The sequence below is a fragment of the Homo sapiens genome, chromosome 2, assembly GCF_000001405.40.
Source record: "Homo sapiens chromosome 2, GRCh38.p14 Primary Assembly".
In the NCBI taxonomy this organism is placed as follows: domain Eukaryota; kingdom Metazoa; phylum Chordata; class Mammalia; order Primates; family Hominidae; genus Homo; species Homo sapiens.
Window position 1 is genome coordinate 74,293,285 of NC_000002.12, and position 25,052 is coordinate 74,318,336.

The 25,052-nt window shown below is 42.6% G+C and overlaps 1 protein-coding gene and 1 pseudogene across 2 annotated transcripts in view; both read right to left on the minus strand.

Moving 5' to 3' along the window:
- Positions 1-25,052, minus strand: part of SLC4A5 (solute carrier family 4 member 5) — a 127,175-nt gene that overhangs the window by 77,043 nt on the left and 25,080 nt on the right. For both annotated transcript variants that reach the window (NM_133478.3, NM_021196.3), the window contains 2 exons: positions 21,661-21,741; positions 11,205-11,396 (listed from right to left, as the gene is read on the minus strand). In NM_133478.3, the coding sequence (NP_597812.1) occupies positions 11,205-11,396; positions 21,661-21,739 (271 nt within the window). In that variant the 5' untranslated portion in view covers positions 21,740-21,741. Of the gene's footprint in view, positions 1-11,204; positions 11,397-21,660; positions 21,742-25,052 lie in introns of those variants that run through there.
- Positions 13,386-14,774, minus strand: KRT18P26 (keratin 18 pseudogene 26; annotated as a pseudogene).

Consider the following 25,052-nt stretch of genomic DNA (forward strand, 5'->3'; position numbering starts at 1 on the left):
CTGCTGACTTGCTGTGTTCACGGGAATCCTTCCTGGGGTGGGTGGCTTTGGAATGTCTGCCCAGCCCATGTCCCCTCCTCCCATAAGGATGACCCTGGGCAGCTGTATTTGTGTGACATGTGACCTGTGCTCCTGGCCACAATGAATTGGAGCAGGAATGGTTCATTGGACACCTGTCCCAAGCCTGTGAATTTTGAATTGGGTCTCTGAGTTAGCTGGGCCTTTCCTGATGGTTTCTGGGAGACAGAGCTGGTAAATGGAAGAGGCAGAAAGGGCTGGGCTGCAAAGAGAGGAAGCAGCCTAGAGGCGAAGCTGTGGGAAAGGGCTGTGTACACCCAGAGAGGGGGCTGAGAAGGCACTGCGCTCACCCACTTGAGCCCGGCTCTTCGTTTTGCTTTGGGACTGTGAGAAACTCCTTTGTTCTTGTAATATAAACAATCTCTCCCCACACCCCTTCTCTCTCTGCTTCCCCAAGCCAGTTCAAATAGGTTTCTGGCATTGTGATAAAATTACCTTCTTAATCATGAGTCCCCTTTGTATGAAATTCTAGAGTGTGGAGATTTTTTTCTGAGTACCTTCTTGAAAACCATAAGTGTAAAGGTTATAAAAGAATGTTGAGTCACTGTCATAAGAATAGTTAGATTAAGCCTAGTCATGTGAAAAGTAAAAGAGCGGGGAGTAAAAAAAGGCAGGGCAGGCCTAAAGAAAGAAAGAGAGGCAAAGGAAACACTCCGTGACCTTGGATAAGGGAGGAAGCTCAGCTGGGTCAGAGGGGCTGGCAGAGCCTGGCATGTGCATGGCCAGCCCCCCAAAAGTGCTTGTGGATGGAGCCAAGGCTGGAGAAGGCCTAAGTATGTTGGGGGTCAGGGGAGACTCAGTCAAGGCTAGCTGAGAAATTCAGGTAAGAGATCCCTCCGTCTTTCCCATCTGAGTTCCCTACGCCACTCTGGACCTACCAGGCCTGGGAAGGGCAACAACCTCAGTGTGAAATCAGAAAGGCCCCGAGCATTATAAGACCCAACAGCAAAAAGAGAACAACGACATCCATCTCATTGGCGCACAAGGGAAGGAGAATCAGACGTTTCTGGAAAACCAAAAGGGTAAAAGGCAATTATTACTCATGATTTAAGATTTAAAAATGTCACCAAGAGTCTTCAATTTGCATGTTGTCCTTATTGTTCTGTTTTGGTAGATATAAATGCAGTATAATGAAGAAGCTGTCATTTAAAATCAAACTGAACAGTTGCTCTGCTTTTTCCTTCCAAGCCAAGAGGGGTATGGAGCCTAATGATATCAGTAGGAAGTTGAATCTTGATCCCGCTTCTTTCATCTGACAGAGGCCAGTGGGGACGGAGAAAGGAGAGAAGAAAATTTAAAGGCCTCTCAGTTTTTTGGATTTTTTTTTTTTTTTTGAGACACAGTCTTGCTCTGTCGCCCAGTGTACTGACGCAATCTCAGCTAACTACAACCTCCGCCTCCAGTGTTCAAGCAATTCTTGTGCCTCAGCCTCCTGAGTACCTGGGATTACAGGTGTCTGCCACCACGCCCGGCTAATTTTTATATTTTTAGTAGAAACTGGGTTCGCCATGTTGGCCAGACTGGTCTCAAACTCCTGGCCTCAAGTGATCCGCCTGCCTCAGCCTCTCGAAGTGCTGGGATTACAGGTGTGAGCCACCATGCCTGGCCCTCTTTCAGTTCTTTTATGCTGCATAAGCGCTAGACTGATAGATGGTCTTTGTGTTTAGTTCAACACATTATGAGTCCAGTTGGGTGAAAATGGGCTCTGAGCTAAGGTGAGAGAGACCGAGGTAAATCATATGACAGGTAAAGTGAGTGGAGTGAGTGTGTGTGTGTTGGAGAGGGGGCGCTGAGGAGAGGGGGCTCAGAAACCGAGAAGCAAGGAGATACGAGGAGACTCAGGAGGGCAGTGATGGGGGGTGGGAGTTGCCAAAAATATGGTAGGAAGGTGAAACTACAGAGGAAGGTGGCCAAGGGGAAACCTTCAGTGGCCAGAGGATTTTTAAGAACAGGGATATCTAATATCTCATTTTAAAAATTGAGTATCTCGGCCAGGTGCAGTGGCTCATGCCTATAATTCCAGGACTTTGGGAGGCCGAAGTGGGTGGATCATTTGAGGTCAGGAGTTCAAGACCAGCCTGGCCAACATGGTGAAACCCCGCCTCTGATAAAAATACAAAAATTAGCCAGGTGTGGTGGCGGGTGCCTGTAGTCCCAGCTACTCGGGAGGCAGAGGCAAGAGAATTGCTTGAATCTGGGAGGCAGAGGTTGCAGTGAGCAGAGATCATACCACTGCACTCCAGCCTGGGCAATAGAGGGAGACTCCTTCTCAAAAACAAAAAACACAAAACAAAACAAAAAAGAAAAAGAAAAAATTGAGTATCTCTACAAAGTAAACCCCCTCCATGGTTCTGAACCTTCAACAAAGCCTGCTGCTCACCTATGTGCCTTAAACGACCAATTTTGAGGAAACCACAGCAGGGCAGAACTCCATACCTGGGCTTTCCTGGAGGTGAAAGCAGAGAACAGATGCCAAAGGTGAAGCACTGTGAGACTGAGTCCACCAAGCAGGGACTTGGAGCCAGGGCAACGCTGAGACTAGAAGCCTTTGGAAATTCACAGACATTTAAGCAAAGGTGTGGGCCTATTCTAGAATGTGGCGAGGAGGCTGGAGTCTATTTTAGTTAACCACATCGAATAAGGTTATAAAAACTTTATATTAGGATTTTCATTGGTTCACTTGCAAATTCAGGCTCTCAACCCATTTCCCCTTAAGGTCTTAAGGTCACTAACTCAAGATTCTCTCCTGGTAGGGTTTTTTGCTTGAGTTTTGTTTTTGTTTTTTAGGAGAACAGCCCTCTTGGCTAGGGAGGGAATGCAGTATATGTTGAAAATTCGGGGCGATCTTGGTTTTAAGGTGTTAAAGGGCAAGAAGAGAGTGGTGTAGAAACAGACTTCCTTGAGGTAATTTTAATTTGTCTTCCTTCCCCAGCCCCAGGGTTGGGGGGAGCATAAAAGGTCTAGAATGATCTTTATCCTTTCTCCTTTTTCTTCCTCCTTTTCTCTTTTCTCACTTCTCCCCTCTTCACCACTTCCTTCAAGATCCAAATTAAGTAGACAAAGGTGAGGAAGCCACCCCAATTTTAAAGTTTCAAACCCTAAAAGAAAGCCAATTGTCGGCCAGGCACTGTGGCTCACGTCTGTAATCCTAGCACTTTGGGAGGCCGAGGCAGGTGGATCACTTGAGTCACTTGAGGTCAGGAGTTTGAAACCAGCCTGGCCAACATGGTGAAACCCGTCTCTACTAAAAATACAAAAAAAAAAAAAAAAAAAAAAATTAGCTAGGTGTGGTGGCACATGCCTGTAATCCCAGCTACTCAGGAGGCTGAGGCAGGAGAATTGCTTGAACCTGGAGCGGAGGTTGTAGTGAGCCGAGATCGTGCCACTGCCCTCCAGCTTGGGTGACGGAGCAAGACTCTGTCTCAAAAAAAAAAAAAAAAAAAAGAAAGCCAGTTGTCTTTGCTCCCATGTTTGAAACGTGGCCTGCCTCAGGGACTCCTTAGTGCAGGAGATGTTTTAGAGATAAACTTATTTTCTATCCTAACCCTTGGCTCCTTTCTTATCAGAAAAGAAAGACAACATGAAACATGTCTTTGGTCCTAAGGCTTTGGAACCTTGTGAGGTTCCAGTGTCTTAATAGAAAGCCTTTCTCTCCTTTACTTCTCATCTTAGGGTAATTTTGATCTTTTGGTGATCCCAGCGCTGCTCAATACCTGGCAAATAGATGAAGGCTTGAATATTTTTCACACTCCTTCCATCAGAAGGATCTCATAAGCTTCTCAGTACCAACGAGGGCAGCCAAATCAAACAAATGCCCACTTTAGAGGAAAAAGATTTGGGCGTGGTGCTCTTAAATTGGGTTAATGTGTATAAAGTGAACCAACTATATGTTAAGTGCCTACCATGCACCATGCACCATGTGAGGTATCTAATATCTATTTATCTCTCATTTAACAACTCGTAGCAATCTGGCATGAACAACCATGCAGTTTGCCTAGGACCGATCTGGTTTTAGCACTGAAAGTCCTTCCTCCCTCATCCTGGGACAAGTCTCAGTCCTGGGCAGACTGAAACAATTGGCCACCCTGCAACAATCTTTCACTCTCCAGATGAGAATACTGAGACTCCAGGGTCTACACACCCCAGTTGGGCTTGACTGACCTTGTTTCTCTTAAACTGGCTCCAGTTCTTATTAGCAGCCTAGAAAAGTGGAAGTGCAACCACATTTCTAAAGCTGCTTCTAATCCTCTTTCTCCTAATGGCCTCTCAAGAGGTTTTCACAGCCAGAAAACACATTTTTTCCCCCCAGGGTAGAAACCCTGGCTCCTACTGACTTTCACCACAGCTTGATGATTCTATTCATCATATGAGTTCTGCTTCAGTCAAAATTGATTGGCTACTAAGTATTGACTTCCTAAATTATTAATATATTCACATTGGGGGAAGGTGTGGTAAGGAGGGAGAGAGAGAAAATAAATAAACCAACTGCTATGGCCTATTATTTCCTACCTATCTATTCCTTTCAACATGAGGCAATTTGGCTACTTGAAAGGACATCATTATCAGCCAGGGTCCAATATGGTGACTGACCAATGACATCTTATAAAGGAAAGCAATGTAGTGAAAGGGCAAGCACAGTCTTTGGAGTCAATAGATCTGTTTTTATTTCCCACATTCACTGATTAACATCTGCATTATGCTACATCTCTTTGAATCTTAGTTTCACAATCTGAAGATGGGGATAATAATATCTCCCTTTTACTGTTGGTGTGAGGATTAATTGAGAAGATGTAATTCCAGATTTCAAGCTATATTACAAAGCTATAGTAATCTAAACAGTATGGTACTGGCATTAAGACAGGCACGTGGACCAAGGGAATATAATAGAAAGCACAGAAACATGCACACATACATGGTCAACTAGTATCTGACAAGAGTGGTAAGAATACACAAGGTGAAAAGATTAGTCTCTCCAATAAATGGTGTTGAGAAGACTGGATATCCACGTGCAGAAGAATAAAATTGGACCCCATCTTATGCCACTGACAAAAAATTAACTTGAAATGGATTAAAGGCTTAAATGTAAGACCTCAAAACATAAAAGTGCTAAAGGAAAACAGGAGAAAAGTTGTTTAACATTGGTCTTGGCAGTGATTTCTTTTGGATATGGCACCAAAAGCACAGGTAACAAAAGCAAAAATAAACTAGTGCAACAATATCATATGAAAAGGCTTCTGCATGGCAAAGGAAACAATCAACAAAATGAAAAGGCAACCCACAGAATGGGAGAAAAGATTTGCAAGCCATATATCTGATAAGGGCTTCATACCCAAAATATATAAGGAACTCATACAACTCAATAGCAAAAAGAAAAAAATCCTATTTTTAAATGGGCAAAGGAAGCCAGATACAGTGGCATGTGCCTGTTGTCCCAGTGCCTCAGGAAGCTGAGGCAAGAGGATAGCTTGATACCAGGAGTTCAAGTCCAGCCTGGGCAACACAGTGAGACCCTTAAAAAAAGGCCAAGGATCTGAATAGATGTTTTTCTAAAGAAGACATATGATATGGTTTGGCTGTGTCACCACCCAAATCTCATCTTGAATTGTAGCTCCTATAATCCCCATGTGTCATGGGAGGGACCTGGTGGCAGGTAATTTAATCATGAGGGTGGGTTTTTCCCATGTTCTCATGATAGTGAATAAATCTCGCCAGGCGCAGTGGCTCATGCCTGTAATCCCAGCACTTTGGGAGGCCGAGGAAGGCAGATCACCTGAGGCTGGGAGTTCAAGACCAGCCTGACCAACATGGAGAAACCCCATCTCTACTAAAAACACAAAAATTAGCTGGGTGTGGTGGTGCATGCATGTAATCCCAGATACTCGGGAGGCTGAGACAGGAGAATTGCTTGAACCCGGGAGGCAGAGGTTGCGGTGAGCTGAGATTGCGCCATTGCACTCCATCCTGGGCAATAAGAGCGAAACTCCATCTCAATAAATAAATAAATTTCATGAGACCTGATGGTTTTATAAAGAGCAGTTCCCCTGCACATTCTCTCTTGCGTGCTGCCATGTAAAACATGCCTTTGCTCCTCCTTCACCTTCTGCCGTGATTGTGAGCCCTCCCCAACCATGTGGAACTGTGAGTCCATCAAGCCTCTTTTTCTTTATAAATTACCCAGTCTCAGTTATGTCTTTGTTAGCAGCGTGAGAATGGACTAATACAACAAAGAAATAGCCAATAGGTATATGAAAAAGTGCTCACCATCACTAATCATCAGGGAAATGCAAATTAAAACCAAAACCATAGTGAGATGTCACCCCATACCTGTTAGAATGGCTACAAAAAGCAAAAGATAACTAGTATGGGCAAGAAAGTGGAGAAAAGGGAACACTTGTGCACTGTTGGTGGGAATGTAAATTGGTACAGCCATTATGGAAAATAATATGGAAGTTCCTCAAAACATAAAAGTAGAACTAGTATATGATCCAACAACCCCATCTCTGGGTATACACCCAAAGGAAGCCAAATCAGTATCTTGAAAAGATACCCACGTGCCCATGTTCACTGCAGCATTATTCACAATAGCCAAAACAGAAACAACCTGCATGTCCACTGACAGATGAAGGGATAAAGAAAATGTGGCATATACAAATATATACAATGGAATATTATTCAGCCATAAAAAAGAAGGAAATTCTGCCATTTGTTTCAACATGGAAGAACCGGGAGGGCATGACGCTAAGTGAAATAAGCCAGAACTATTGCATGTTCTCATTTATATGTGGAATCTGAAAAAGTTGAACTCATAGAAACAGAGGGCAGAACAGTGTTTACCAGGGGTCGGATGTGGAAGATGGGGAGATGTTGGTCAAAGATAAAAATATTCCAGGGATCTAATGTACTGCATGGTGACTATAGTTAATAATACTGTATTGCATACTTGAAATTTGCTTAGAGAGATCTTAAGTGTTCTTACCATACACTCGCACAAAGGTAACTATGAGTGGTGATGAAGGTGTTAACCAATTTGATTGTGGTAATCATCTCACAATGTGTATGTATATCAAATCATGTTTTATACCTTAAACATGTATAATTTTGTCAATTATACTTCAATAAAGCTAGAAAAGAGAAATGTATGAATTTCCTTTTCCTTAATTCTCCCAGCTGCCTTTTCTAGCTAATTTTTACCTATCATTTAAGACTCATGACAGGTGTCACCTGCTCCAGGAAGCCTGTGCTGCCCCCTCTGCCACCACTCACCACCTAGGCCTATGTGCTCCTGTTTCTCCTCCTATAGTTTCCTGTGCAGACCTCCATCAACGCACCTCCCACCAATTTATGCTTATCTGTTTGTGGGTCTGTCATCTCCAGGTGCAAGATATTTTCTCCAAGGAGCTCTGACATGATCCAGAGAGCAACTTTGCAGCAAGGGGCTGCTTTCCATGTAGCGCATGGAGCCAGTACAAGAAGGACAAGGATGCCTGGGCTGGCCTCTTTCCTGCCCCTGACCTGCTGTGGGAATGAGGACCAGCAGTTACTTGGGCCTCAACTAGAGTTAAAGCAGGGACTTCACAGGGTTCTGTAAGCTAAATGTGGTTCAAGGAAGCATCAAATTTCTTTAGGATAGTGTATTTTTTAACCAGGTACACTGGAACTTAATAGAAAAGTACAGACACCCAAGCCCCATTCACATCTAACACGTCAGGCAGCTGGATTGTGTATTTCAAAACTGTCCTGGAGGTTAGGAACCTTGCAGCATATATTAAAGCCACCCTCGTGGGTCTCTGTGGAAGGAATAAAAGTCAGCTACCTGGCCTTTGTTTCAACTTTATAGTTATGATTATTAATATTATACATTTAGTTAAAAATGATATTGAACTATCATTCTCAGGGGGCTTTCACAGGTACCAAGCCCCTTCACATATACTGTCTTATTGGATCTTTGCCATTATTCTGTAAGGCAGGAACTGAAGGGGTCTCTGCTCAATCCTCCATCTGCATAGTGTGCCTGACCCTCAGGCCCAGACACATCTAGCCACCCTGCCTGGCCCAGGCCCCTCATACTCTGCAGGATGCCCCTGTTCTCTGAAGTGGGAGTTCCTGCTGGGCTATGCAGCCAGACCAGCTGGGCCCCCTGCCTAGGTGTCTGGATGGATTTACAGAACAGACAGGACACTCAGAGAGGAAAAACATATGTGGTCAGGTGTCCTACAGCAAAGAGAAGTGGGAGATTCAGACAATTATCCAGATGAGGCAGGTAAAATGATTCTGGCGCTGTTTTATTTTGACTTCTGCAGGGCATTGGCACTATCCCTGAGATGTGGCAAGAGCAAGGTTTATATCTGTATCACACATACAATGCCCATTTTGCTTAGAAGTGAAAGACTGAGGGTTGAGACTTCCACTCCGTGAAGAACAGCAGAAACCAACTCAATGCCCATGGGCTGCAGAAAAATCACTGTGGTTGGTGACTTTGTTACCAGGCTTTGTGGCTTCCTTAAACCGGAGTGTCTGGAACTGGGGTCTGGAATGTATTCTCAGGGGTAGAAAGGTTTTACTTGAACTTTTAAATTTTGCTTCCATTTTGATAATCTTAAAAATATTCCTTTTATTAGATGGAACAGCAAAATTTGGGTTATAATTCATAATTGGAAGATATTTTTATGGAATAAAACCCTAATTAGTTAGATTATTTCTCAAATTGGAATATGTGGCTTCCTGGGGCCCTACAAATATACAAATGCATTTTCATGGGTACACAAGACTTTATTTTCCCTTTAAAAGGGGTTTTTACTTTACTCCAGCTTATGAGACATGGCCTACAATTCCCTGTCCTCCTAGGCTCTCCCATTCTCCCTTTCCTACTCCACAGCCCTGTCGGGAACAAGCCAGTAACACACACACATAGTATAGGAAGAGCAGACGGTGAAGGAAATGCACCAATATATTTGGTACAAATATGCCAAAAGGGCTGGACGTGGTGGCTCATGCCTGTAATCCCAGCACTTTGGGAGGCTGAAGCAGGTAGATCACTTGATGTCAGGAGTTCGAGACCAGCCTGCCCAACATGGTGAAACCCTGTTTCTACTAAAAATACAAAAATTAGCTGGGCGTGGTGGTACGTGCCTGTAATCCCAGCTACTCGCGAGGCTGAGGCACGAGAATCACTTGAACCTGGGAGGCAGAGGTTGTAGTGAGCCGAGATCGCGCCACTTAACTCTAGCCTGGGCAACAGAATGAGACTGCGTCTCAAAAATATATATATGCCAAAGCGTTCTACATTCTTTTTCCTTTGGTTTGCATTTAAAATCAGTGTCCACTTAACTGAACAAGACACCACCAAAGCAATGTCAAATCCACCATCTATAACTACTTCTGTGATGTTCTATGTCACCTCTTCTAAACTCTTTGAGCAGAGGGCACCAAATCTAAACTGCTTTCTTCTTCTCTGGCTCAGGAAGGACCCAGCAGACTCCACCTTCCAAGGACGACCTCAATCCTGAATGTAGGAGAGGTGGTGAGGTGACAGGGGAACATCTCAGAGACCATGTCAGTATGTGTGAGGCATCCAGAACCCACACGGGGGCAAGAGGTCTTCCCAGCAGGCTTGCTTTCCTCTTGGTCTCTGATGTTCCCACTCCTGAGCAGGACTGTGTGTGTGTGTGTGTGTGTGTGTGTGTGCATGTGGAAGTGTTTTTTTGTGTGTGTGTGGTGTGTGTCTGTGTATGCCTGTGCATGTGGTGTGTGTGTGCGTGTGTGTGTGTGTGTGTGTTGTATTTTAACTATAGCCCATCTCTTACACTGGACTCCTCCAAAGGATTTACCATTACCCCATCTCCTACAAAGGCACATTTACTCTGTAAAAGCCACAGGCCCTGGTCAACCTAATGCCAATGATGGGGGTTGTAGAGGGCTCTGCAGGGTTGGGGGTAGCTCCCATGGCCTGTGAGAGCAGGTGCATCAGGTCTCCTGCCAGGATACTAAGATGCAGTCACTGCCTCTGACACTCCTTGGAAGGTATAGATGGTATAATAAACCAACTTTTCCACACTCAAGACAGTGAGCTATATATAGTAGAAACCAAATTCATACTGTTTATTAGGCAGGTTTGGGATATGCTGAGAGTGAAATCACGTCCCCAGAAACATCAGTAAAGTCACAGTAAAATGTCACATTTGTGCTCTAAGGATTCCAGTCCTTTTTACTCCTCTTAAGATTGATCATTTTCTTTCCATAGGAAAGAGCAAAAGACTGATTTTTAATTAGCCCAGAACTATTTTCTGAAGGAGCAGAGGAAGGCCTGGGGGCTTTGTTGTCCTGGAAGAAAGCTTCCTAGGTGTCTTGCAAGCTACCGTGCAGGGTGACTACACAATTCTGTACCAGGTCTTTCAGCTCCAGTGAGGAGAGAGGGTGGAGCTAATGTAACAAGAACTTCAATTTACTGAGCACAATGCCTCATACAAAACAAGCATGTCCATTATTATTATTTTTTTTTTTTTTTTGAGACGGAGTCTCGCTCTGTCGCCCAGGCTGGAGTGCAGTGGCGGGATCTCGGCTCACTGCAAGCTCCGCCTCCCGGGTTCACGCCATTCTCCTGCCTCAGCCTCCCAAGTAGCTGGGACTACAGGCACCCGCCACTACGCCCGGCTAATTTTTTGTATTTTTAGTAGAGACGGGGTTTCACCGTTTTAGCCGGGATGGTCTCGATCTCCTGACCTCGTGATCCGCCCACCTCGGCCTCCCAAAGTGCTGGGATTACAGGCGTGAGCCACCGCGCCCGGCCGCATGTCCATTATTGGTTCTTAGGGCAATGACCGTATGGTCCTTGGAATTTGGAAATGAGGGAAATAATTCTGAGAATCAAACCATGAAATCAACATAGAATGGATCAGAGTCGAGGTCTCAAAGTCCCCAGAGAAAGACAGGGTGTCAGTCTGACCAAAAGTGTCAGTGAGCAGGAAGGTTGGCCAACAATGGAAGCAGAGCAGAGGGGGCCAGAGAGGTTAGGCTGAGCCATGTGGAGCGTTACCCACATTCTCCAGAAAATCCCCCCTGCCCTGCTGGGTCCCATCTGGACACACCAGCAGGATGGCTCCCCAGAATGTACCCCTCAAGGAACTCACGAGTCCTGCTGATAAGATCCATGCTGCTGTCCTGGCTGCTTGCCCCACTCCCTGGGCCAGTCAGTTCCTGCTGTGGCTGGTCTGGCCGCAGGCCCCAGTGGACTTTTTGCAGGCCTGAAAGATGTCCCTTCTGGTCAGTTTTTCTTTGAGGGTAAGTGGGTACTGGAAGCCCAATGTGGATAGGAGGGCATTCTGTGGACACGGCACAAAAGACAGGGGAGGCAGGGTTACTGAAAATTGGCATTTTTTCATAATATTCATCAGTTACAAAGAGATTGGGCTGCAGAAGCAAAATGGAAGACATGGAGTGCCAGGATGGGGTCATTGCCCTGAGGCTTGGGTTTGACCAAGTTCCATTAATGAACCAAATCAACAGTTGCTGGAGGGAATACCCTCAGTGCTATAATTAGAATTCTGTTAGAATGAGCAGAACTCCCATTCCCCCGTTCTTGCTTGTCCGGAACAGTGATTACTGGATATGGCTTATGACACGTGGTTAAGGGGAAAGTCCCTCAGTGGGTCACAGATGTAGTTCAAAATGCCAAGTGCCCTCTTTGATTGTTATGAGAAAGTCATATGCATTTCTACTGAGAGCCATTTTTACTAACAATCAAGGACTACATAGACTACTTATCAGAAAAGTGAGTTATTGAGGGTTTCACAAAGCTGGCTTTGTAAACTAAAATTTCTAAGAACTAAAGTTACCAAGAGCCCTAATTCAGAATCCCACTAATAAGCCTGATTACTATTGAAACCCAGGGTAATGGGCAAAGCACACAGAGGTAGCTGGAATTCCCTCACCTCTCAGATAGGACATTGCTATCAGTTTAACATCAGTGTTGTCTTAAGTCAACAATTTTTAAAATAATTAATAGATTTTTAGGACAGTTTAAGATTTACAGAATTATTGAGCAGACAGCACACAGAGTTCAATATACCTACCTCGACCCTAATCCTACCTCTGCCCCTACAGCTTTCCCTATTATTAACATCTTACATTAGTGTGGTGCATTTGTTATAATTAATGAGCCAATACTGACACATTATTATTAACTATATAGTTTACATTAAAGTTTACTCTTCTATTGTATAGATACTTCTATGGGTTTTGACAAATGCATAAGGACATACATCTACAATTATATATCATATAGAATAGCTTCACTACTCTAAATATCCTGTATTTCACCTCTTCATCCCACCCCTTCCTCCCTCCAACTCCCTTTTCTTTCCTTTTTTTTTTTTTTTTTTTTTGAGACGGAGTCTTGCCCTGTCGCCCAGGCTGGAATGCAGTGGCACAATCTTGGCTCACTGCAACCTCCCCTTCCCAGGTTCAAGCAATTCTCCTGCCTCAGCCTCCCAAGTAGCTGGGATTACAGGCACGCACCACCATGCCTGGCTAATTTTTTGTATCTTTAGTAGAAACAGGGTTTCGCCATGTTAGCCAGGCTGGTCTCGAACTCCTGACCTTGTGATCCACCCGCCTTGGCCTCCCAAAGTGCCGGTATTATAGGCGTGAGCCACCGTGCCTGGCTCCAACCCCCTTTTTACTTACTATCTCTACAATTTTGCCTTTTCCAAAATATCACAGAGTTGGAATTGACAGAGCAGGAGCATTGCCATCTTGTTGGACAAGCACTGCCATTCTAAAGTTCACCTTGATCAAAAACCACCTAAATCCAAAGGGCATCAGCCTAATGGCTAAGGTGAGCATGACCATAAGCCACAAATAACATCTCCAACTAGAAACATTCAAAACCCCTCCCTGACCAGAGACATGCCAGCCCTGAGATAACCTCCCCTCTGGCCAGAGAGATGTTAGCCCCAGGATAACTGCCTCTCTGACCAGAGACATTCCAACACCACCAAAACTTCTTCCCCAAACAGAAACATTCCAAGCTTGTGGTAAGTTCTCTTACCCTAAAATAAATAGTCTTAGTCTGTAAGAGAGAGCGCTTCTGACCCAAATCGGCCAGAAACCCCTCTCAGGTTTATTCTCCAAAGTAAAACTGTCTTTGACTGCCGAGCCACTTTTCGTGTTTCTTTCCTTTCTTTCACTCTTACAGGAATCATATATTATGAAGCCTTTTCATATTGGCTCTTTCAACTAGCAATATACATTTAAGCTTCCTCCATGTGTTTTCAAGGTTTGATAGTTCATTTCTTTTTTTTTTTTTTAACCTCTGAACTTTTTATTGGCCTCCTGCTCCCCAAAGGGTACCCTGCTTCTGCTGGCTTAATGTCTCAGAACTTTGGTGTCATTATTCTCAGACACCACTTTGCCATCCACTATCCAGTGGGTAGTGTTCTTTTGGATGATTTGCATGGAGTTGCTGCTGTCCAGGGCATCACCAAGATTGAAGTCCTTGCCATCTTCCAGCAGGCAGTGGTAGGTGGTGATCTCAGCCTCCAGCTTGAGCTTGATGTTCAGCAGGGCCTTGTACTCCTGGGCCTGGCACTGTCCCTCTGCCTGGGTCTGTGCCAGCTCTGATTCCAGGTGCAGCAGGATCCCATTGAGCTGCTCCATCTGCAGGGTGTAGTGGGCCTCCACCTCCCTCAGGCTGTTTCCCAAGCTGACCTTCAGATTTCTCATGGAGTCCAGGTCAATCTCCAAGGACTGGACTGTACGTCTCAGTTTCATGAGCATCATCTCAGCAGCTCCAACCTTGGCAGACTGCATGGTGACCACTGTGGTGCTCTCCTCCATCTGCTGAGAGCAGTACTTGTCTGGCTCCTCTCGGCTCTTCTGAGGCAGCTAATCATATTGGGCCCAGATGTCTGCCATGATCTTATCAACGTCCTAAGATTTGGGGACATGTACCTCCATGGTCAACCCAGAGCTGGTAATCTGGGCTTGTAGGTCTTTTACTTCCTCTTCGTGGTTCTTCTTCATGAAGAGCAGCTCCTCGAGAGCCTCGATCTCTGTCTCCAGCTACAGCCGAGTGACACTGGTGTCATCAATGACCTTGTGGAGCCCACGGATGTCGCTCTCTACAGACTAGCGCATGGCCAGCTCTGTCTCATAGTTGACTCTAAAGTCATTGGCAGCAAGATGGGCACTGTCGATCTGCACAATGTGGGCATTGTCCACAGTATTTGCGAAGATCTGAGCGCTCATGTCCTCAATGGTCTTGAAGTAATGGCTCCAGTCTCTGACCTGGGGTCCCTTCTTCTCCAGGTGCTCCCGGATTTTGCTCTCCAGCTTCCTGTTATCAGTCTCCAGGCTCCTCACTGTCCAGGTAGGAGGCCAGGAGGTCGTTCAGGCTTTGCATGATCTCTTTCTCGTTCTGGATGCCTCTCATTCTGGCCAGACCCCCAGCCATCCCCATGCCAGGCCCCCAGACCCCATGCCACCCTGGAAGCTGGTGGAGCAGGACACAGAGATCCAGGAACCAGAGCCCCCGGCACCTGCATAGACACTGGCCACACTGCTGACCAGCCAGGCGCCGTAGCTGGGTGGCTGGACAGAGCCCAGGGACCAGTAGTTGGAGGAGAAGGTGGAACGAGTGGTGAAGCTCATGCTGTCCGGGGAGGAGAGTGAGAGGAAAGGACTCAGGCTTTGCTGATGACCTCATTTCTTTCTATCTCTGAACAATATTCCACCGATCAATGTACTGTAGTTTGTTCATCCATTCTCCTATTGAAGGACATCTTGGTGGCCTCCAGTTTTGGTGATAATGAATAGTGCAGCTCTAAACATTCATATGTAGGCTTCTATGTGAACATAATTTTCAACTCAGTTGGGTACATACCTAGGAACATGATCGCTGGTTCGGACGACAAGACTATGATCAGCTTTGTAAGAAACTGCCATACCATCTTCCAAAGTGGTTATATCGTTTGCATTCCCACCAGCAATGGAAGAGCATTTCCTATTGCTTTGCATCCTCATCAGCATTTGGTATTGGCAGTTTTTTAAAAAATAGCCATTCTAATAGGTGTTAGTGGATCTTATTGTTTTAATTTTAAATTCCCAACTGACATATGACATTTAGAATCTTTTTATATGCTTATTTGCCATCTGTATATCTTCTTTGATGAGGTGTTTGCTCATATCTTTTGTCCATTATTAAATTGGGTTGTTTCCTTATTGAGTTTTAAAAGTTCTTTTGGTATTTTCAGATGCAAGTCTTTTATCAGATACATGCCTTTTGCAAATATTTTCTCCTGGTCTGTGGGTTTTCTTTTCATTCTCTTAAATGTCTTTCACAGAGCAGAAGTTTTCAATTTTAACAGAGTCCAGCTTATCATTTTTTTTTTTTCATCAATTGTGCTTTTAGGGTTGTATCTAAAAACTCATCACCAGACCTAAGGTCACCTAGATTTTCTCATATGTTATCTTCTAGAAGTTTTGTAGTTTTGCATTATACATTTAGGTTTAAGATCCACTCTGAGATGATTTTTTGAAAGGTGTAAGGACTATGTCTGAATTTTTTTTTTTTTTGAGACAGAGTCTTACTCTGTCATCCAGACTGGAGTGCAGTGGTATGATCATGGCTCACTGAAGCTTTGACCTCCTGTGCTCAAGCAATCCTCCCACCTCAGCCTCCAGAATAGCTGAGATCACAGGCATGCATCACCACACCCAGCTATTTTTTTTTTTTTAATTTTTAGTAGTCTCAAAATCTCTATGTTGCCCAGGCTGGTCTTGAACTCCTGGGCTCAAACAATCCTCCCGCCTTGGCCTCCCAAAGTGCTGGGATTACAGGCATGAGCCATTACACCTGGCCTGGATTCATTTTTTTTTTTAAACATATGAATGTCCAGTTATTCCATCACCATTTGCTGAAAATATTATTCTTCTTCCATTAAATTGCCTTTGTGTCTTTGTCAAAGATCAGCTGATTATATTTGTGTGGGTCCATTTCTGGGCTATTTATTCTGTTCCACTGATCAATTTGTCTGTTCTTTTGACAATATCACACTTGATTGTAGTAGCTTTACAGTAAGTCTTGAAGTTGAGTAGTGTCAGTTCTTCAACTTTGTACTTTTTCAGTGTTATGTTGTCTATTCTGGGTCTTTTGCCTTACCATATACACTTTAGAATCAATATGTCAGCATCCAAAAAAATAACTTGCTAAGATTTTTATTGGGATTATATTGCATCTATAGATCAAGTTGGGGAGAACTGACAACAATGTTGAATTTTCCTACGCATGAACATGAAATTTTTTTTTTTTTTTTTGAGACAGAGTCTCACTCTGTCACCCAGGCTGAAGTGTAGTGGCGCCATCTCAGCTCACTGCAAGCTCTGCCTCCCGGGTTCACGCCATTCTCCTGCCTCAGGGTCCTGAGTAACTGGGACTACAGGTGCCCACCACCACGCCCGGCTAATTTTTTTTTTTGTATTTTTTTAGTAGAGACGGGGTTTCACCGTGTTAGCCAGGATGGTCTTCATCTCCTGACCTCGTGATCTGCCTGCCTCGGCCTCCCAAAGTGCTGGGATTACAGGCATGAGCCACCGTGCCTGGCCAAAATATTTTTTCATTTACTTAGATCTTTGATTTCTTTCATTACTTTTATAGTTTTTCTCATGTAGATCCTGTATACATTTTGTTAGATTTATGTCTAAAATTTTTGGTGCTAGTGTATCATGTCTTAAATTTCAAATTCCAATGGCTGGTATATAGAAAAGCAACTGTCTTTTGTATCCTAAGACTTTACATCCTGAGACCTTGTTACAGTCACTTATTAGTTATGGGAGTTGTTTGGTAAATTCTTTGGGATTTTCTGCATAGACAGTTATATCATCTGTGAACAAAGATGTTTTATTTCTTCTTTCCCAAACTATATACATTTATTTCCTTTCCTTGTCTTATTGCATTAGCTAGAATTTCCAGTATGATATTGAAAAGGGCTGGTGAAAGGGGATCTCTTTGCTTTGTTCCTGATCTTAGCAGGAAAGTTTTCAGTTTCTCATCATTAAGTATGATGTTAGCTATAGGTTTTTTGTAGATTTTTTAAAAATCAAGTTGAGGAAATTTCCCTCTATTCCTAGTTTACTGCAAGTTTTTATTATGAATAGGTGTTGGATTTTGTCAAATGCTTTTTCTGCATCTATTGACATTATTGTGTGATTTTTCTCCTTTGGCCTATTGATATGATGAATTATCTTAATTGACTTTTGAATACTAAACCAGCCTTAAATACCTGGGATAAATCCTTTTGGGTCATGGTGTATAATTATTTTTACACATTGTTGAATTTGATCTGCTAGCATTTTGTTGAGGATTTTTGCATATATATTCATAAGGGACATTGGTGTGTAGTTTTTCTTCTTGTCATGCCTTTATCTCATTTTGTATTGGGATAATGCTGACTTCATGGGATTAGTTAGAAAGCATTCCTTCTGCTTCTATTTTCTGGAAGAGATTGTAGACAACTGATATCCTTTCTTCCTTAAATGTTTGGTAGAATTCACTAGTGAAATCATGAAGGCCTGTTGCTCTTTTTTTTTTTTTGGTAAGTTGTTAATTATTATTATCTATTACTTCTTTAATAGTAATAGGCCTGTTCAAATTATTTATTTCTCCTGTGTGAGTTTTAGTAGTTTGTGTCTTTCAATAAATTAGTCCATTTCACCTAAGTTATCAAATTTGTAGGCACAGAGTTGCTCATAATATTCCTTTATTATCCTTTTAATGTCCATGGAATCAATAATGATCACCTTTCATTTCTGATATTAATGTATGTCTTCTCCCTTTTTTCCTTGGTTAGCCTGGCTAAAGATTCATCAATTTTATTAATCTTTTTAAGAGATAGCTTCAGTTTCATTGATTTTCTCTATTGTTTCCTATTTCTAATTTCACTGATTTCTGCTCTATTTGGTATTATCCCTTTTTTCTTCTTGCTTTAGGATTATTTTGCAATTCCTTCTCTTGTTTCCTAATATGGGAGCTTAGGTTGTTGCTTTTAGATCTTTCTTCTTTTCTAATATATGCATTTAATGTTATTCATTTTCCTCTAAGCACTGCTTTTGCTGCATCCCACAAATTTTGATAAGTTGAATTTTCATTTTCATTTAGTCCAAAATATTTTTAAAATTTTCTTAAGACTTCTTCTTTGACTACTCATATATTATTTAGAAGTGTATTGTTTAATCTCTAAATATGTTGGGATTTTCCAGTAATCTTTCTGTTATTGATTTTTAGTTTAATTCCAATGTGGTGTTACAGCATACTCTGCATGACTTCTGTTCCTTTAAATTTGTTCAGGTGTGTTTTATGTCCCAGAATGTGGTCTGTCTTGGTGGATATTCTACATGAGCTTGAGAAGAATGTGCATTCTGCTATTGTTGGACGAAGTATTCTATAAATGTCAATTAAATCCAGGTGATTTATATGCTGTTCCTTTCAACTATATCGTTACTGATTTTCTGCCTGCCGGATCTGTCAATTACTGGTAGATGGGTATTGAAGTCCACAACTATAATCACTGATTTGTCTGTTCGTCTTCAGTTTTGTCATTTTTTTGCCTCATGTATTTTGATGCTCTGCTGTTAGGTACATACATGTTAAGGACTATTATGTTTTCCTGAAGAATTGACCCTTTTATCATGATGCAATGCCCTCCCTTATCCCTGTTAAAGAGATGTTCTTTGCTCTTAATTCTTCTTTGTCTGAAATTAAGATACCTATTCTTGCTTTCTTTTGATTAGTGTTATCATGGTATATCTTCCTCCCTCCCTTTACTTCTAATCCATCTGTATCTATATCTATACCTATCTATCTATATCTCTATATGTGTGTGTGTATATGTGTGTGTGTGTGTGTGTGTGTGTGTGTATATGCATTTTTTTTGAGACAGAGTCTTGCTCTGTGCAGCCTCCACCTGCTGGGTTCAACTGATTTCCTGACTCAGCCTCCCGAGTAGTTGGGATTACAGGTGCATGCCACCATGCCTGGCTAATTTATGTATTTGTAGTAGAGACAGGGTTTCACCATGTTGGCCAGGCTGGTCTCAAACTCTTGACCTCAAGTGATCTTCCAATCTCAGCCTCCCAAAGTATGGGGATTACAGGTGTGAGCCATCGCACCTGGCCTGTGTCTTTATATTTAATGTAGGTTTCTTGTCACATAGTTGGGTCTTGTTTTTTGATCCTGCCTAACATCCTCTGCCTTTTAATTGATATGTTTAGACCATTCATATTTGAAGTAATTATTGGCTGGGTGCAGTGGCTCATGCCTGTAATCTCAGCACTTTGGGAGGCTGAGGTGAGTGGATCACTTGAGGCCAGGAGTTCAAGACCAGCTTGGCCAACATGGCGAAATCTCATCTCTACTAAAAATATAAAAAATAAACCAGCGTGGTGGTGGGCACCTATAGTCCCAGCTACTCGGGAGGCTGAGGCATGAGAATTGCCTGAACCTGGGAGGCAGAGGTTGCAGTGAGCTAAGATGCACCACTGCACTCCAGCCTGAGTGACAGAGCAACACTTCATCTCTAAATAAATAAATAAAGTGATTATTGAGATCAGTGAATTAATATCTACCATGTTTACAACAATTTTGTGTTTGTGGCACTTGTCCTTTTTTTTTTTTTAATCTTCCCCCTTTTTGGTCTTTTTTTTTTTTTTTTTAAGAAACAGGGTCTTGCTGTGTTGCCCAGGCTGGCCTCAAACTCCTAGCCTCAAACAATCCTCCTGCCTCTGTCTCCTGGGTAGCTTGGACTATAGGCACATGCCACTATGCCCAGCTCCTCCTCTGGTTTTAACTGAGCACTTTATATGATTCTGTTTTCTCTCATCTCTGAGTGTATAAATTATATCCCTTAAAAAATTCTAGTGTTTGCCCTAGACTTTGCAATATACAGTTAGAACTAATCTATGTCCACTTTCAAATAACGCTATACTGTTTCTCAGCTGAACTATGGAGAAGCATGTCTAAGCCTTTTAGAGAGAAGTTGAATATGCTTTAGAGAGATGTTGAATATGCTTTAGACAGATGTTTTATGAGTCTACTCTGGTTGGTGCATTCCTAGGTACTAGGGGTCAGGTTACTTGGATGTCAGTGTCCAAATCTGTCTAAAGTCCCAGCTCACCCCACTGCATGCTCTTCTGGATCCCATTCTCTCCTGGATGTAACAGGGATGAAGAAAACGAAGTGGAGATTCTTATGAAGTATGGCCTCACTTCCTAGGGCACGGGTGTCAGAATGACTAGTTTCCCTTCTTCCTCCTCTCACCTCCCCACATCATGGTGGAACTTCCCTTCCCTATACTGCATTGTTTAAGCAAGCTGCAATTTGAGATAAGCAGTAGACACTAGCACTTAGAGGTAAGTAGTTCCACTCTAAGGGCTTAGCATATTTGGGTCTTCCAACAGCAAGTTCCTATTCTCCACCCTTGAGGCCAGGAATGGAAATGAAAAGAAGCAGGTATATCAGAAAGGCCCCAACCCAAGAGGCAGCTGCCCTAGGTGCTCCCTGGCTTGTCCTTTACTTGATCTGTGGCCATCCTGCTTCTCTGGGACTCGGTGAACTCATCTGTAATGTGGGAATGAAAATCCTTTCTCTACCAAACTGGCTTCTGAAAAGATAGAATGGGATCATGTATAAGAACATGATTATGCAAATTGTAAGGGACTATACACAGGAAGAGTATATTTATTATAGAAATCAGAGGAGATGGCTGTCAAAAAACTATTTTACTTTCTGTTCTGAATCTAAATTGTCCCATCTTTTCTTGGCTTCTATCATAATCAAAAGAGCATGGTGATTTAGCTGGTGAACTGTGGGGAGTGGCTTGCCCTCCCCCAAGTCTACATTCTCCTCTGTGGCTCTACAAGACCTCTCCTCTCACGGTAAGTATCTTGCAGTTTGGCTCAGGACATGTGCCAAGTTCTCCTAGCAACTCTTTAGGGCATTTTTCTTGCTTGACAGCTCCAGAGTGGCTCTACACATTCTGCAGCTCACCGAGCCTCTAGGTGGGCAGCGAGGTTGGTATTTTCCTTCAAGTGGGGCTGGGGTAACGATGGCAGTAGCCGCCCATCTGATTGCCTTTTCATAAGCCCCATGGCTTCTTCTCTGTAGTGTGTAGGAGGCTTTGGGCAGCTAAAGTCAGCAATTCTGGAGCAACAGAAATACCTGCCACCTCAACATCCTCTTGCACTGGTTTTAATTGTGCTGTCAGTTTGGGAATCTATTAATATAAAATGTTGATATTTGGCATTTATTATGGTTTGCAGATCTTGTAAAATTAGGTGAGTTACATTTTGTGTTGGGGAAGCTATATTCTAATCCACATAGGCAAAGTGGCAGTTTCCTGTCTCCAGCTTGACCATGCAGTCACCTGGGGATACCATGAAGGCTGGTCCCACCAGCCTCAAGGAGACACTGTGGATGAGTCAGGAAAAGGGACCTGCTCCCTAGACTCTCCTGCTGAAAGAGCTGTCATAAAGACATTCAGAGAATTCTCAGTGCCTCCTGAGATTTGCATCAAGTCCTCAAAGTGACCTCACCTTTCTGATCCGGAAATCTCCTCCTGTGGTTAGTGTGGTCCAGCTTTCCTACCCCAGCCTTCTCCTCCTTCACCTTCATGACTATAAAGTAAAAGGAACACAGCCTCAAAATGTATACATTAAAAAGGGTAGGATTTCAAGGAGAAATGGTCAAATCCACAGTCATAATGGGAGATTTTAATACAGATAAAAAACTAAGACAAAAGGACATATAACTGGGTGCAGTGGCTCACACCTGTAATCCCAGCACTTTGGGAGGCTGAGGCGGGTGGATCACCTGAGGTCAGGAGTTCGAGACCAGCCTGGCCAATACAGTGAAACTGCATCTCTAATAAAAATACAAAAATTAGCCAGATGTGGTGGCATTCACCTATAATCCCAGCTGCTAGGAAGGCTGAGGCAAGAGAATCTCTTGAACCCGGGAGGTGGAGGTTGCAATGAGCTGAGATTGCACCACTGCATACCAGCCGGGGGAACAGAGCAAGACTCTGTCTTACGAAAAGAAAAAAAAAAAAAAAAAAGGACATATAAACAAATTGAAGAATAATTTCCAACAAGCAGAGAACACACTTCTTTTTCAAGTACAAATGACACATTTACAAAGAGAGCACATATACTACGTCACAGAAAAGCCTCTGAAAAGTAAATTTATTATGCTTATATAATAATATATATAAAAGTAATATATTATGCATATATATATGCGCCAGGTGTGATGGTGTGCTGTAGTGCTAAGCTACTTGGGAGGCTGAGGCGGGAGAATCATACAAGCCCAGAAGTTTGAGGCTGCAGTGAGCCATAATGATTGTGCCACTGCATTACAGCCTGGGTGACAGAGTGAGACTCTATCTCTACGAAAAAGAAAAAACAAAAGCAATCTATGCTTTTGTTTTTAAGTAAACAACACTAGGACTGAAAAAGGGACATAAAATATAGTTGAGAATTTAAAAATTATAATTCCATTAAAAAATTCATGCCAATTAATTTTAAAACTTAAATAATAAGAATAGTTAACATTGCTATGTGCCAGAAGTGCTTTGCATGTATGATTTAATTGAATCTTATCAACAATCCTATGACATAAATAACATTATTATTCCCATTTTACAAATGAGGAAACCCAGACACAGAGAGCTTAAATGACTACCCACATGGAAAAACAAATCTGGACAATCTGTTTCTGGAACTATAGCCCTCAGCCACAAGGCTAATACATGGATACTTCTCTACAAAAACAATAGAAGTATCAAAATTGACTTTTAAAAAAATTAGAAAACCTAAATTAACCAATAACAATTAAAATGATTGTAGGAAAGACACCACAATCAGTCATGTATTGATAATTATTGAAGCTAGGTTATGCTACAAAAGAGTTGTAAAAAAAAAAAAAAAAAAAAAAAAAAAGAGTTGTAAACTAAAAATAAAATCCTAAGCCTCCCCACCAACTGAACAGACTCCCTCTTGGCCAAGGGGATCCCAGAGATACATTAAAAACCAAAATCCTGGCCAAGACAGGATAGGAGGTCAGACACACCTGGTTATATCATCTCCCTTTTGCAGTGTAGACATAACTGACCAGCATTTATGTTAAAATTGAGAATAAGACTGACAGAACAGACCCTTTATGGCAATAAGGTACCAAACTGTAAACAAGACCTAAAGCCAGGCCAGGCAAGGGTTAAGTTATACACGCCTACACTTGAAGAATAAACTGTGTCCTAACTGCCACACGGTTTTTCTTTTCCTCTAGCAGCTAAGCAAGCACTGGCCTTGAGACAAGCAATATTAGAACAATTTGCAGCACATCTACCAGCAGATGCTGACTAACCAACCCCCTGCTCCATAAGCCATAACTATAGCTTTGATTGGACAAAAGACTGACTTTAGTAACTCCCTCCTGATAAGAAGATCATGAACCATGGACTGGTTCTGGTCAGTTTACAGAGGCTGTGCACTTGAACGCATTTGTGTCCTACAAAGACCTTCTAACGTATAATGCCTAATGTAATACATTTAAATGTTATGGCTCCATCCCAAGGTGAACATGGGCATGCGTAATATGCATGTTTGTTCAATACACATGCATCAGGACCACCTTCATGAATATTCATAGATCCTCCTGTAACCTACTGAATATGCATGTTTAGCCAACCCAGTCAACTTAAATTCCTGCCTTTCCCCTCCTCCTTCGAAGTGCCTGTCTCTGATCTAACCCTGAGGCTATGGTTCCCATCCTGTAACATGGCCACCTTGCAGGCTGTAACCCTTTACAAGAAATAAAGTCTTCTCTCCAAATGCATAGATCATGTGATCTTTAAGTTAACAGGGTCATCATCATTTATTTTACTTTTGTTGTGTTTGAAAATTTTTCTATAATGCAAAGAAAAATAAACACCAGGAACAGATAGTTTTTTTTTTAAATGTTTTATCTGAACCTTCAAGGATTAGACAGCCTCTACATATACAAAATGTTTCTCAAAGATAGAAATAGGACATCAGAGGCAATAGGGATATCTCAAGACCATGATGCAGAGCGGGCTGAACACAGGGGAGATGGTGGAAAATCTTCATAAGGAGTTCTGAGGTTAAATCCTCAGGTCTCTCCTCTAGGCTCTAGTCTCCTATAATGCCCTTTCTACTCAGAATATGGAGGGGCCCTGTAGGAGACTAAAGCCAGGACAGAAGATCCCTGGACAGCTGAGGGCAAAAAGGAGTAATTTCACTGGGGAAACAAAAAGGAGTTAAGTAAATGCAGTTAGCCCCTCAGCCCTTTGCCTGCTGGACTCCTAGAACCCTAATGAAGTTTAGGCCCTCCAGGCAGGACATTGGAGAACTTCCAGATTCCAACATTTTGGGGACCTCTGACAAAATGGCAAGGGCTGCATCCAATTGCCCACTGTAAGTCTATCATTCAACAAGTCCAGCCTGGCCACATGGCAGCTGTTTGGCAGCTCCACTTCAAAACATGAACAGCCAGCCAAGAATCACCAGAATGACAGATACCAAAACAAACAGGAAAAGAAAAAGTCCAAGGAAACAGGAGCAATGTAGGCAGCCAAAGAAACCATTAAAACTATGTAGTAGCAAATGTCACAAAAGCAAAAATAGACAAATGGCACTTAATTAAACTAAAAAGCTTCTACACAGCAAAATAAACAATGAACAAAGTAAACAGACAACCTACAGAATGAAAAAAAAATATTGCACACTGCGCATGTGACAAAGAGCTAATATCTAGAATCTGTGAGGAATTCAAACAACTCAAAAAGAAAAAAACAAATAACCCCATTAAAAAGTGGGCAAAGGACATGAACAGATATTTGACAAAAGAAGACACATAAATGGCCAACAAACATGTAAAAAATGCTCAATATTGCTAATCATCAGAGAAA